General features: G+C 50.1%; 1 protein-coding gene across 5 annotated transcripts in view; it reads left to right on the top strand.

Moving 5' to 3' along the window:
* Nucleotides 1–15,019, top strand: part of KCNN3 (potassium calcium-activated channel subfamily N member 3) — a 172,827-nt gene that overhangs the window by 39,147 nt on the left and 118,661 nt on the right. For all 5 annotated transcript variants that reach the window (NM_002249.6, NM_001204087.2, NM_170782.3 and 2 more), the window contains exon 2: nucleotides 8,951–9,046. In NM_002249.6, coding sequence (NP_002240.3) covers nucleotides 8,951–9,046 — 96 coding nt within the window. The remainder of the gene's footprint in view (nucleotides 1–8,950; nucleotides 9,047–15,019) is intronic.

The raw sequence follows: 15,019 nt of genomic DNA, 5'->3' as shown, positions 1-15,019 counted from the left end.
CCTCATCCTGTATGTTTCCACCTCCCGCACAGTGCCTGGCACATGGCAAACATGTAATAAAAAGTTTGATTGAATCGCATGGAATCTTTGCCAATATTGTAAGTGGGGCAGGAAAATAAATTATAAGCAAGCATGCAGTAGAGAATTCATGATATGCCAGTTCCCCTCTGCCCAGACCTTATAAAGGAAACCATCTCCTTAATTGGAATTATGTTTGTGGCCTGAAGGGGTGCCCCGTCTGACTTGATATTTTGGGAGCGTGGTCTCCTAAATGACCTTTTTCTGCCTTCCTTGGGACATCACACAATGGGAGAGCCAGGGCCTGGGGAGGATCATTTTCTCTTAATTGGTGTCCTGGTCATCATGCTGGCTTCACTAAAAATTAGTAGGCCACCCTCTGCTCAGACCTGAATGCCCTTGTTATTAACTGCATGATGTCCCTCAGACATCAGGTTCCGTCTCCTTCTGGGAGTGGCAACGTAGAGATCCAGGGAAATGCTCCAGGGCAACTTGACTTTATGAGTTTTGTGTCGAGACCACTGGCTTCCTTCACGCCACAAGTATTATCTGCCTAGTTTCCCCGTGCCGGGCCCAGTCTGCAGAGACGGTGAAGACCCCAAGCCCTGAGCTCAGTCTGTTCACCATCTATCACACCACTAAAGCCACACAACTGGGGGCTTCTTCAGAGAGCAGGTGGGACCGGTAAGGGCAGGGCCTGCAAGGGTGATGTTCTGGCAATTGCCATCCTGTCTTCCTGAGGTTCCCTCTGGATCAGTGGTGAGAGCACAGGTTTGAATCTAGCCCCCACCTCTTCCTCATCCAGGGACGGTGGGAATGTGACCCTCTCCAGGCTTCAGATCCCTCATCTCTAGAATGGGGCCATGGGTTGTTCTGAGGACCTAACGAAATTAGCACAGTACCTGGCCTCTGGTAAGTGAATAATAAATGTTAGCTGTTACTTTCATCACCTCTCTTTAGTTTTGATGAATTTGGAAATTCAGGATGGAAGTGTCTACCTGCTTGACATATCTCAAAAATTTTGCTCCCTTCCTTCAAATATTCAACGTTCAACTAATATTTATTGACTTACTATGTGCCAGACCAGTGTTCTAGGCATGGGGCTCTAGGAGTGAACAAATGCAATGTAAAAATTCCCTGCCCTCTGGGGTTGACACTCTGGTGGGGGTGTGAGAACAACATCAGTGGGAAAATGGGGTCAGATGGTGAAAGGTGCTCTGGTCACCCCAGCTGGGCAGTGCCAATGGGAGACACCAGGCATGGCCAGCCTCGGGAAGGGTGTGGGGCCCAGGGCAGACCAGCGGGGTTCCTGGTGCTGAGGTTACCCTGTGTACTATTAAAGCAGGTAATGGCTCCCAGCTTCGATGGTGGGTATATGGACCCCGTTCAGGGATGGGGGCTGAGGAGGGCACAGGAGGACTGAAGACAGGGCTCTGAGGAGCCACCTGCTCTCGGGTCTAGGTCAGACCCCGCATCCTGATGCGGGTCAGCTGGCTCATGATGCCTGGCTGGCTCCTGGGACTGAGAGGAGAGTGTGGATGGTCTTGTCTCAGCTTTCCGCCCACTGGGGATCCACCTCAAGCATCCCCTGGCTGTGGGGTTGAGGGGTGGGCCCAGAACAGAAGCTTCATGTAAGAAGGTGACTGGGCTGGAGAAAAGGTGGCAGTGAGGTTTAGCCCCATCTCCAGCCCCTGGGACCTGTGGTAAAGATGTCCTCACCCACACAGTGGGCTCAGGCAGGCAGGAAAGGTTCCTGGAGCTTGGCCTCTAATATCCATTCTTGAGCTCTGCCGTGGAGAGAGCTGGTCACTCGAGCGCAAAGGAACCACTTGTGGGTTTTCTCCCTCAGCCTGGGCTTCCTGCCCATTCCTGGCTGTCCCAGCCTGATGTGTCCTCCAGGGCCCCCTGACCTGACCCTTGGCCCATCTCTTCTTGACCTTGCACTGTGGGCAGGACAGAGAGGCCAGGGAGAGTGTCCAAGAGGGACAGGATGGGATGTCAAGGTGACGGGGCGATGATGGTGCAGAGGGCAGCCCTTGGGATGAGCTCCTGGGAGCTCCTGGATGGGATTCAGGCTCAGCAGGTTGGGGTTGGAGCGGGTGGGGAATCCCTGGCATTTGGCAATTGCCCAGCACAGTGCCTGGGCATGGTAAGTGCTCAGTGAATATATGTTGTATGAATGCACAAGTGAATGAATGTTTGGCTATGCGGATTGCAAAGGTGTCTTTCTGAAATGCCTCAGGGATATCTTTATAAATTATTGCAGCCATAAAATGCTGATATTGGGGGTGCAGTGAGCAGCTCCGGACTGAGGATCAGCTGCATTTACCTGCACTGACATCTGTATGGCAAGAGAAGGGGTGTTTGACTACAAGGGAATGCATGCTTCTCTTTGTGTGAAAACAGAATGAGATTTTTCGTATGCATGATCTCATCTCATCCCCTAACAGCTGTGAGAAAAGTAAGGGTAGTTCTTGTTTGCAGAGAAGAAACCAGAGGCCCAGAGAGGTTAAAGGACCGATCCAGTGTCACACAGCTAGTTAGTAGCAAAGACATGACTTGAACTCTGGCCTTTTGGTTTCAAATCCTATGTTATTTAGAAAGAGACAAGGAACATCTTCGTTAGCCCCCCCATGACTAAAAATAGGAAGCTTGCCTTGTTGTGTTTGAGGAGAAGATGGTGTGAGTGGGTTTTGTGGCTGACCGTTTCACACCCAACATTTCATCACAGAAATGCCTGGGAAAAGAAAACTCCTAAGAAAAAAAAAAAAAGGAATGAGTGTTGGACATGTCCCTATGACCTGTTTGTCATGGCATGTGTGCTCGGCGCCTTGGTCATCAGGCTTAACTGAACTTCGGAGAAGGTTCTGTCCAGGAGTCTCATTTTACTGGGGGCTGAGGCTTAGGAGAAGGAAGCAACTTGTCCAGGCCAGGCATTCACTATGGAGGAGGCTGAGACTCCTGCGCCCTCGGATGCACACCCTGGGCCTCTGTTCCAGAGCTGTCTTGGCTAGCAAGTATCAGGCCCTTCTCCCTTCTCAGGCTGGTCAGAGGTCCAGCTGCCCTCTGGAGTCCCCAGAGTCTCCCTTCCCACTGTGACAGCATCGGCTGTCTCTCCCGGTCTCAGGTTGGACAGTCCTGGGAGAGAGAGGGTCTGAGTGACTTCATTCTGTCACTTCATTCATTAGTGACTGAAACAGGATTCTGTTAGCTGACTTCTGGTAGGAGCCAGGTTGGGAAGCCGCTCTGAGGATGCTGGGAGGGCCAACAGCTGCAATTATTATTATTATTGTTGTTGTTATTATTATTATTATTATTGAGACAGAGTCTTGCTCTGTCTCCCAGGCTGGAGTGCAGTGGTGTGATCTCGGTTCACTGCAACTTCTGCCTCCTGGGTTCAAGCCATTCTCCTGCCTCAGCCTCCTGAGAAGCTGAGACTACAGGCTTGCACCACCATGCCCAGCTAATTTTTGTATTTTTAGTAGAGATGGGGTTTCACCATGATGGCCAGGCCGGTCTTGAGCTCCCGACCTCAAGTGATCCACCTGCCTTGGCCTCCCAAAGTGTTGGACTTACAGGCGTGAGCCACCACGCCTGGGCTTGCAATTAAATTAGGGTGCTGCACCTGGGAGGAGGAGGCTGTGCTAAGATAGGAGCTGAGGATGATGGGTAAGAATGAAAGATCCCAAGAACTGGACAGTGTGAGATTGAGGAATGAGGAAGGCCAGGGCTTGGTGCTGATGTGGAGGGAAAGAAGCCTCAGGTCTCCATGGAGAACAGCGACCAGTGATGCGGTCTTCCCTTTAGCGGAAGAGGGGCTGGTTTAATTTGCATAGCATTAATTAGCAAGAGTATCTAATTAGGACAACCATTACAGAACCACAGTCATAAGCCGATGTTGAATATCAATCAATTTTGGAGCCTCTCCATGAAATTGAAGGAAAAGTTGACCTTATTAGATAGAAAAGATTTCTAAATCAATTATTTCCCAGATTGAATGCACAAAACATAGTGATGTCAGGCAGGCACATCAGACCTTAATTCAGAAATTATGAACTTCAGATACTATCACCTTTTCCCTTTGGGGGTTTCAGCCAGTGACAGAAATCGTGAATGGACCACATATGTGTATAAACACACACACACACAACCATACACATATACTCTTTGTGGGTAACAGCTTGGTTGGGGAAGGAGCCTGCGCATCATTATCTCAGTTAAGCTAATATTTCAGTTTGGTTCAGTGCCCCTCCAGGTCTCTGTCTGTAAGCATAGCTTTCTCCTTTTTGCGATGACCCAAACAATAAAATACATTTAGAACTTCAAAGTCTCTGGGAAGATATACCATAATCATTACAGTTCTGGCCTGTTTTTGGAAGCTACAAGGCAGGCCAGGAGAGCAATTTATGTGGCTGGCTCAGAAGCTGGGGAACACACTCCATCACCCTCTGCACAGCCTCAGGGGAGGAAAGGCTGGAACAGCTCTAAGAAGCCTCGCTGCAGATATTGGAGGGCCAGCAAGGCGTGGCCGCCAGAGCAGGTGGGGTGCTGGGACACAGGCGGGGCAATGGAACCTGGAGGCAGACAGATCTGGGTGTAAAACCTGGCTTTTGCAAATCCTGGCTTTGCCATGGTGAGAAGTTAGGTAACATGCCCTTGGACAAGTTACCTAACTTCTGAGAGCTTAAGCTTTCTCCTCTGTAAGAGTGGGTTGACAATGCCATCCTTGCATGGTAGGCCCCTATAGATGTGCTTTATTACAGATTATTGTCATCAATGAGAAATCACAGATCTGTGAAGGGCTGGCTCGTGGCCTGGAGCAGAACAGGGACCACATGGATGGAGGCAGCTCTTAGGAATTCTATTGACATATTTTCAGTCTTTTTCTACACTAAAAAAGCTTAAAAATGAAATAATTGGAAATATACTACATATCGTTTTGGGGTCTGAGTTTATCACTTAATAGTCTATCATCAACCATTCTCCATGTCTTCAGATATTGTCTGCAGAAGTGTTTTTTGGTTTTTTTTGTTTTTGTTTTTGTTTTTGTTTTTGTTTTTGTTTTTTTTTAAGATGGAGTCTCGCTCTTCACCCAGGCTGGAGTGCAGTGGCACTGTCTCGGCTCACTGCAAGCTCCGCCTCCCGGGTTCATGCCGTTCTCCTGCCTCAGTCTCCCGAGTAGCTGGGACTACAGGCGCCTGCCACCACGTCCCGCTAATTTTTTGTGTTTTTAGTAGAGATGAGGTTTCACTGTGTTAGCCAGGATGGTCTCGATCTCCTGACCTCGTGATCTGCCCACCTCGGCCTCCCAAAGTGCTGGGATTACGGCCGTGTGCAGAAGTGTTTTTAGTGGCTGCGTAGTGTTCCATCACTGCCTGATCTCAAATCTACTTAACCACTTGAAAATTTGTGGGCATTTAGGAATAAATGACTTTAAAACATGACTCTCAGCTGGGCGCGGTGGCTCACGCCTGTAATCCCAGCACTTTGGGAGGCCGAGGCGGGTGGATCACTTGAGGCCAGGAGATCGAGACCATCCTGGCTAACACGGTGAAACCCCATCTCTACTAAAAATACAAAAAAATTAGCCGGGTGTAGTGGCGGGCGCCTGTAGTCCCAGCTGCTGGGGAGACTGAGGCAGGAGAATGGCATGAACCCGGCAGGCAGAGCTTGCAGTGAGCTGAGATCGTGCCACTGCACTCCAGTCTGGGAGACAGAGCAAGACTCTGTCTCAAAAAAAAAAAAAAAAAAATGATTCTCATCAAATGGGATATAATTCCTAAGCATTCCTGTGTGTTAAGGATTGTTACTCTGTGTTGAAAAGTTCTGAGTCACGGGGCAGAAGGGTTGACCAGTTGACCGCTGGATTCCCTCTGTTCTACAAGCCCCTTATTGGTCCTCAGATAGGAGTGAGTGGGGGCAATGCGTGTGGCAGGTACCCTATCCTGGGATGTATGGCAGCCCGGTGTCACTGCCATCCCCCAAGGAACCATATCAATTTCAAGCTTCACTGATGTTCAGGCAGCAAAGAGAAGATGCTAATTCAACATTTTACCAAATAGAAAACATTCCTAGTTCAGCCAGACTTCTTTGACATGTTTTCCAGCTATTAAAAGCGGTTGGTTAATTTTTTTTATTGACATGCGATGGAGAATGCAAAGAAATCTGTAAGATATCGAGAGTCCCTGTTGATCCAGCACACAGCTTGGTCATCCCACAGGGCTGGAGCTGGCCAGGGAGGTTGTACTGGCCAAAACCAAGAAGCAGGTGGGAGTTGCCTGTTCATGTAAAGGTTTTGAGCTTTAGGACAAAAGGAAGAGGCCCAAAGGAGAGAGCATCTGGCCCCTTTCCCTTCACTGCTTCCTTTAAAATGATGGAAATAGACTTGGATTCTGATGTCAATTCATTGCTGCCAAAAGAAATAAATAAGGGGCTGAAATGTGCAGCTGATCCCAAATCCTTCCCGGGGAGGTGTGATGCTCCCAGATGCTTTCAGACCCCTTTGAAAAGAAAGTTATGGTCATTTCTGGATGGAAAACATTGTGAGCTGTCCCCAGTTGATCCCCAGTTGATTGATGTAGGGAGGTTTGTTTTACCCTAATACAGTCTGAGTGTTCCTGAATTCACCATTTGCTCTTTTCAGCCCCATCTGGGTCTTGTGGTTGGGTAGCATTTCAGGCACCAGGAAGTGCTTGTGAAGATCAAAATATTTTTGAGGGCCAGCACTGTGTTCTGTCCTTCTCTGTGCTTATGTTGGACCAGAACAGCACCAGCCCTCCTTAGGCCCCCATACATGTGTGCTGAGTAAATGATTGCAGGCTGCTCTTATGGAACTGTGGAACATGAAGAGGCTAAAAGAAGACTGGCTTATGTGTAGATCATCTTATGCATAGCAAATAATGGAGACCTTTTCCCATAGTTGGACGACCCCATGCAATGTAGAAAGTCAGAGTTAGTGAATAAGCCAGATCAGAAGCTTCTGGTGTATATCACTGTATATATAGAATCTAGCACACTGTTGGATATCTAGCAAGTGCTCAGCAAATGAGAAGTGGTTGAAATTTTTGTGAAAGAGTGAATGAATTAGTTACTTTATTAGTTTTCTTTGTATCTCCAGTGGGCCTCAAGAACTGTACCAATTAAATGAATGGGGAGATTAATAGACATCAGGGAGAGCACTTTCATTCCATCTCAGCACACAGAGTGGGGCCGAGAGCATGGACCTGGGCACTTGGAAGTCCTGGGTTCGAGTCCCAAGCCCTCCTCTCATTCTTGTGGTTGCCATATTGGACATACCGCCTCACCCCACAGATCTCAGCTGCTCCTCACATCTGCCTCTGAAAGCTGTCTCTGACCCATCCACAGTGGCCTCCCTCCTTTGAGCTCCCCTAGCTCTACTGTAGGTTTCACTCTGGCAATTGATCATACTCTACCTTACCTTGTTGTCTTAAGATGTCATTTAGGTCTATTTAAATGGATGCTTCCCATGTTTCTAAGTTGTTTCCCATTGGAGAGTGTGCCTGAGGGCTTGTGGGCAGTGCTCTGTACTGCGAGTCAGAGGCCTTGACTTTGAATTCTGGCACAAGCCACCCACCCTCCTCTGGGCCTCAGCCTGTAATATCTATAAGGTAAAAGGCCGAGGGCTGTTGTGAGGATGGATGAGAACAAATACGTGAAACCACCTTGTAAACTGTAAGGTGCCTTCCAGAAATCAGGCATCATTCTTCTAATGACCAGCTCCCTGAGGAAGGGAATGTTTCTTTTGTGGCGTGCACCACTCAGGACCAAGTGCAGGGCCGCCATACACACAGTCACTGCTTGGAAATGCTTCCTGGATCTCATCTGCTGCCTTTGCTCAGGGCTGTGTTCCCGCCTTCCTTTGGAACTAGGAGCTATCTCTACTTCCAGCTTCGAAATGCCCAGAGGTGCACCAAGTTCCAACCCAGACACCCTGATTTGTAGAGGATGCAAAGTAAATGATAAGGGTAGTTAACACTTACTTGGCCAGGCACTGTTCTGGGCACTTTGCATACATTAACTCCTTTATTTTCACAACAGCCCTGTGAGGTAGTCCAGAATATTATCTCCATCTGACACAGGAGGCATGCTGGTGCAGAGAGGTGGAGTGGGCGTTCCAAGGTCAGGTAGCCCTAAATGGCTGTCGCAGGGCTGGGACCCAGCAGTCTGGCCCCGGAGGTCATGCCCTTAACCACACTTCTCGGTTTCTCTAAGCTGCCCTGGGACTGAAAGGCTGCAGTGGAGGCCACGGGGCTCACCTCCCCCACCTAATCCCTAGCAGGAGGGACCATCAGGGTACTTCTCCTGCCAGGACCCCTCTCTGCTCCTGTGCTTCCTGGCTTCTCTCTCCAGTAGCTCCTCTGCCGTCCCTGCCTCCCTCCCCTGCCCTTGGCCTAAGCCAGGAGATGAGAGCAGCTGCCGGGACATTCAAATTCATTCCTGAAAGAATTCTGCCTCCGAAATCCTCTGGTTTGGGTTTAAGAGAAAACAGAGGCCCAAGCTGGCGTAATATTGATGCCCAAACCATGTAATAGCGGCACAACAAAGAATGACGTTCATATGAGTTATGAGCATGGAAGCACAAATTCTAAATAACACATCAGCAAACTGAATCTAGCCGTGTATAACAAACATAATACATCATGCCCAAGTAGCGTTCATCCCAGGAATGCAAATACGACTTAGCCCGAGAAAACAGAGGCTCAAAGGGGGCAGCTGCTGAGACAGAGCCGGCCCGGGCACAGCCCAAGGCTTTTGTGGGGCTCAGGCTGACTTTGTGCTACACCTGCTCCTAGGAGGGGCTGGTAACAGTCCCTCCTGTGTCCCCACCCCTTCTCTTTTACACAGCCGCAGAATAAAGTGAGACGCTCCTTTCCCCGCACTCCCTAATTCTCTCTCTCCATTGTTCCTGCAGGACTCCATGTTTTCGTTGGCCCTGAAATGCCTTATCAGTCTGTCCACCATCATCCTTTTGGGCTTGATCATCGCCTACCACACACGTGAAGTCCAGGTAGGTGCCCCCACCTCACCCCTTCATGCAGCGGCTGATCCTTTGGCCTTGCTCTGAGCCGAGCCCATCCCCACCCCCAAAACCCACTCCCTTAGCAGCTACTTGGGTGATTTTACAAGACGGTGCCCAAGATCGTGGCTCTTCTCTTCTGGTTTGGACCCAAATGGGAGAGGAAACTGCGAGGCCGCCCTGTGGCTTTCGAATAACTGTTAAGTTGTCTTCAAAGTGGGGATCCCAGAGGCAAACATAGGGCTTCATGTTGAGCGAGGCTGCCGTATTCGGGACCCTCACTGAGCACCATCGGACCGGGAGAGCCCCTGATGCATTGCTCTGCCTTTTGTGTCTCTTGTCCTTTCTGAACTTGGGCCACTCAGTTCATCCCTTCAGTGAGGCAGACCTGCCTTGTGTACCCCCACATATGCTGCACCAAACTCCACCAAGGAGTCTGCTTTTTGTGAATGGTGTGGTCTTCACCCTTGTGGGTCTAGGCTGGGGGTGTCATTTTCTAGACAGAGTAAGAGTCTGCTGTGGCCGAGAAGGCCTCTGTTTCTTGCTGCCCAGGAGTGACTTGGTACCCAGAGAAACATTGGCTGGGCCTCCAGGGTGCACTTCCAGTTTGGCTGACATAGGGAGGATGGTTCAACCCGGGCCAGGAGGGTCAGACAGGAGAGAACAGATCTGAAGCATCTTCTGGTGACAATGAGCTTCCCCCAGCCCCCGGCCCTTCAGGCTGACCTGCACTGCTGTGGACCTGAGAAGTTCTAAACTATCCAGATGTTTTTCCTCATGTGCATGTGAATCTGGAAACCATCCCGGTCCTTTGGCTGGAGGAGCACAGATAGATTCACATCTGGGCAGCAGGCGAGAGATTGACGAAGACCAGAGCTCAGAGTCAGAAAAACTGGGGTCAAGTCTCGGCCATGACCTTTTTTCTTGGTGTGTCTTTGGCCAGCCCTGTGACCTTCCTGGGTCTCGATCTTCTCATCTAGAACATGGGGCCTTTATTCCAGCTCTGCTGAGCTGTTGTGAGGATGGGATGAGGAGCGCATGGGAGAGTGCTTTGTGAAGCGCTATTTAACAACACCGTTCAAATCCAGTCCCATTTGTTACTCGGCATTTTCAGGGTGGAGCAGCAGTGCGGACGCAGGTGGGAGTGCCTCCTCCTCTTAGAGAGCCTTGGCTTTTTGTCTGAAGGTCAGGGGCCACTGTGGCTGGCTGGGACATGGAAGCCTTGGCTCCAGGCCACCTTGGCAGGGCTGCATTCTGTCAATGACTAGAGGATACTGACCTGGATGCTGGGACTCTTCAGCCTCTAAAGGGTTGCAGATGCTTGGACAGGGGCTGTGCCTGTGCCAGATGCCACCAGGCAGCTTCCTTCATGGAGTCTGAATTGGACAGAGTGGTGGACTTTAACTCAGACCATTGTCCAGTCAGCCCCAGAAAGGAGCCAGGAGTACAGGCAGGGAGGACTAGGGCCACGGAATCGAGACAGGACAGAAGTTGACAGTCTGGGCTCCGGGCCTGGTTCCACCCCACCCAAAGCCAGCCGCGGGATCCAGGCAGTCCCTCAGTGTTCATGTTCTCATCTGTAGGGAGACTGTATTACTATGTGTCACCCTGACCTGTGTGGGGAGGTGTCACACACAACAAAGAAAAAAGGCAGAACCATAAAACTCAGTTATGACCCAGGCTTGAGGAAGGGGAAGAAGAGGAGCTGTTCTCAGCCTCAACCCCACACTTTGGTGGTGCTAGGCCTGATTACTTCCTCTTTCTGCTCCAGGCATTGGGGTGGGTAGAGCCAGGTGTCCCTCCCTCTGATGCTCCTGAGGTCCTTGTTCCCAGTCCAGGGCCTGCAGCCCTAGCTCTCAGCCTGTTCTGGTCCAGCTGCAGCTTGACTCAGTTCCGGCCTGGTGGCAGGGTCATGTTGCTGACAGCCCAGAACCTGGCTGGGTACCCATTGTCCCATGTCCAGCTCATGGCCAATCTCTGTTTCAGCCCTAATCATGGGCAGTAGATGATGCTATTGGGGGTCATTCATTTTGGCCTGACACAATTTGGAGAAACAAAGTGAAATCAGTTGTGTTGAATCCTGACTCTGGGGCTCAGTTTCCCCATCTGAAGTATGGGAACCACATCACCCACTTTGCTGAACTCTTGCAGGGGTTGGAAACAGTGTAGAGTACAGAGTGGGCTTTCACAGAATGGAAACTTTGGTCCCTTTCCTGTGACCTTTGTCCCACTGCTTCTAGCTGGGCCTTGCACTTACCAGCTGGGTCCACCAGGTGGTCACTATCACGACTGCCTGGTACTGGCAGGTGGCTGGGCTTCCTCCTGCTCTGGCCCAGCCCTGCCTGTACCCTGAGCTCCCACCACCCAGCCCCTTATCCTCCCTGCAGCCTCCGTCACTTGAGGAAAGTCACCAAAACCGGCTTCCTCTGTGCCTCTTACCTTTCCAGTAAAGTTCTTTCTGTGCCCAGCTAGACCTTCTCTTGCCAGAGGGAAATGGGAACAGTTTGGGCCCAGAGAGTCAGTGGGAGGGAGGTTCCTACGGAGCGCCCTTGTATATACCGCACTGGGCCATATTGTAGTTTTCTGTTGGGTGTCTTTCTTCCCTACCTCAGGGACAGTTATCTTTGCATTAATCTTTGCATGTCCAGAGACTTATAGTGTCTGACAGTATACTCTTCTCGGCAGAGTATAGCACGTTTGTAGCACGTTCTTTGAATGGAAAGCATGCTGAGTTCAAGGTAACTCTTTTCCAAAGCTGGTCGTACCTTGACTTAGCTTTTTGGTCTCGGGCCTCAGTTTCCTCATCTATTACTTAGCCCCCCAATCTTGTAATTCTCTGATTTAGATCTGGCTGCTCAGCCAGCTGCGGAACCTGCTTCCTGCGAGTGGAGGAAGGAGTTATCCCAAGTGTGACTGATGAAGTTATGCAGAGGGGAGTGCTTAGCAAGCACCCTTCCACAGGCAAAGGCCAGCTGCTGCTCACCTGTTGCGAAGCAGGCAGGGCAGGGGGTGGCTGCCGCATCTCCCCTTTGGGTGATGTCAGGACCTTTGCTAGGAATCTGCTCACAGCTTTCCTCATCCACAGTGGTTCCTGATCACCTAGCTAAATTTTAGCAGGGACCAGATGATCATGTCCCCGTCTTCCCCAGCCTTGCCCCAGAAGCTCACACCCAGGACCCAGGCCCTGCCCAGCACACATGTGAGGCTGGGGGAGTACCTTTTAGAACAGTATTCTTACTTGTTCATTTAGATGGCTTGAGTTTTTCAGGAAGAAGAATTCTAAAACACTGTTGGGTAACTCTCACCCAAGCTGGGTAATTTATAAGGAACATAAATGTATTTCTCACAGTTCTGGAGATCGGGAAGTCCAAGATTAGGGTGCCAGCAGCTTCAGTTGTCTGGTGAGGGCTGCTCTCTGCTTCCAAGACGGCGCTACGTTGCTGCATCCTCAGGCAGGGAAGGCAGGAGGCTGAGGGACTGAACACTGCATGGGGCCTCTTTGATACAGGCCTCAATCCCATTCACAAGGGAGGAGCCCTCATGGCCTCAACATCTCTGAAAGGCCCCATCTCTTGGCACTACCACATTGGCAACATCTGAATTTTGGAGGGGACACGTTTAAACTGTAGTGTCCACCTAGTGCAGGAACCCCAGGGCCTCTGTGTGTGCTACTGTGACGGAGCTGCTGGCCCCCCTGGGAGAGGCTGCCCTACCAATGTCTTTAGAAAGCCCGCCCTTCTGCCGAGAAGAGGCAGCCTCCCTGGAACTTGCCCCCTGGCCTGGTTCTGCTTCTGGAGCAGGGAAAAGAAGGGGTTGGTTTCCCGCATGGTAGCCTCCATTGTTGGAAGATGGCACCCCACCCCATCTCTCCTCAGTCTCCCTCTCTGTTGGCGTTTTGGAGCACGGACCTTTCAAAGACTCAGGCACCTCTTTTCCTCAGGCCAGTGTGTCCGGGAGAGAAATGAAAACACAAGAAGCAATGCATTTTGTTTATTTACCAAAACTCTGACTGAAAACCATGCTCTCCCTTGGAGAGTCCATTTACTTCTGTGGTTTAGCTCTCACCAACAGCTCTCAGACCGTGCTAATCCCCTCCCCAGGCTGCAGGCTCACGTTTTACATGCCACCGGCAGCCCCTGGCTCCACACACAAAACACTGAACTCCTCTTGCTCCCCAGTATCCTCTCCTCCTTTGCCCTTGATGACCCACCAAGTGCAGTCATTGGTTCAGCATCTATTTAATAATGTTCTTCTAGGTGCAGAGCCCAGGACAGGAGCCCAGTTCTCTAGATGAGAAACTCAGAATTCACCATTGCTTCTCCCAGGGGTCATCAGCCTTGAGTGAATCTATGGCTCTAATGAATGGCCCTGGTGCCATCCTGGAAGGCAGGCTAGCAGGCAGAATCATAAAACTCAGTTATGACCCAGGCTTGAGGAACGTTCTCTACTGAGAATGTAGACTTCAGAGCAGCCCAGCTTGGCGCAAATCATGCTGTTTGTCACATTTAGTGTGTAGGTGGCCTTTAGCAAGTTACTTAATCCTTCTTAGTCTATTTCCTTTCTGTAAAATAGGACTAATAACCATACTGTGGAGGCCACAGCAACTCCATCTTGGATGCTGATCCTCCATATTGACTTCCGATTAACCCAGTTTCGGGAAAGCCTCTAAGATTTCTCCTTTATCTACTGTTTACTGTAAGTCCTGCCCTTAGGCAAATTGCTTCTGAAGCACATATACCCCTTTCCTCTGGTATTTAATCCCTGGGACTAGGGGGTCGTGGTGCAGGATCCACCATCTTGTCTTACTGCTGCCAGAGACTGTGGCTTTTGTTCATAAGTCCCTATTAAATGCTTCTTTCTGAGAAACTGGATATGTCAGCCCCTTTCTTCAGCCTTTCAGCTTCCTCAGCCTTTGGGGGTAGGTTTGAATATGCCTACCCACCCGGAACCAGTACCTACCAGAAAGGGTTATTGTACAGATTAAATTAGATAATATATGCAGAACTCCTTAGCTTAAGTAAGAATGTGTTTGTCTGGCTGACAGAGTGGAAAGGATACCCCAGACAGAGGTCTCAGAGTAAACAAAGGCTCTGAGATGGGGAACTGCAGAGCACACTGGGAATGTCTCAAGGACAGGGTCCTGGGTAGAGGGGCAAGTTCACTATGGAGGGTGGGAAGGACCCGTAGGGACTTGTTTGCCTTGCTGAAGGGTTTTGGAATGTCCTGTAGGCAGCAGCAGAAACTATGAGAAGGTTTCAAGCTGGGGACAGAGATGATCAGATTTACATTTTAGACAGCACTCTTCATCTGCAGCATGCAAATATAGGAAAGGCCAATTTCAGAGGCAGGAGGACAGTGGGAAGCACGTCATCATGGGCCAGGTGAGGGGTGTTGATGCCCAGAGCTGGGGCAGGAGTGAGGAAGGGAGGATGGGAGGGATCCAGTACCCCTGGGAGGAAGTGCCTGGCTCAGAGCCCCAGGCATGGAATAAGGGGTGGGGTGCAGACACATTCACATCCGGAGGCGTGGAGCAGAGCCTGGCATCCTTAATAAAGTTGCAGGGATGGGAGGTGCCGTCCCTACATCCAGGCCAATGCCGGGCACGTAGCAGGTAGTCAGTGAATGTTTATTGAATTAAACTGAAGAGACTACTGTGACCCAGGATGGGATACAGAGCAGTGGCAGAGTTCATATAATCCAGTCCCAGAATGGGAGCTTCAGAGATCATTAATTTCAAATTGTGGTTCTTGGCCATATTCAAAGTAAAAGGCATCAATCAGATCAATGGGGTGGAGATCCACTCTTGCCTGGGGATATCAATCCCCTCAAGATCTAGCGTTGGTCTCAGATGTTTCCAGTCTTTTTCAAACTCAACAGAAACGTAACGGTAGTAACAAACTATGGGCCTTCAACCTCATGAATTTGAAATACAAGGGACCAAAAAAAGGGGAGGCTTTTAATTTA

This window comes from Homo sapiens, chromosome 1, assembly GCF_000001405.40.
Source record: "Homo sapiens chromosome 1, GRCh38.p14 Primary Assembly".
NCBI lineage: Eukaryota > Metazoa > Chordata > Mammalia > Primates > Hominidae > Homo > Homo sapiens.
This window is presented reverse-complemented; position numbering and strand designations above follow the sequence as displayed.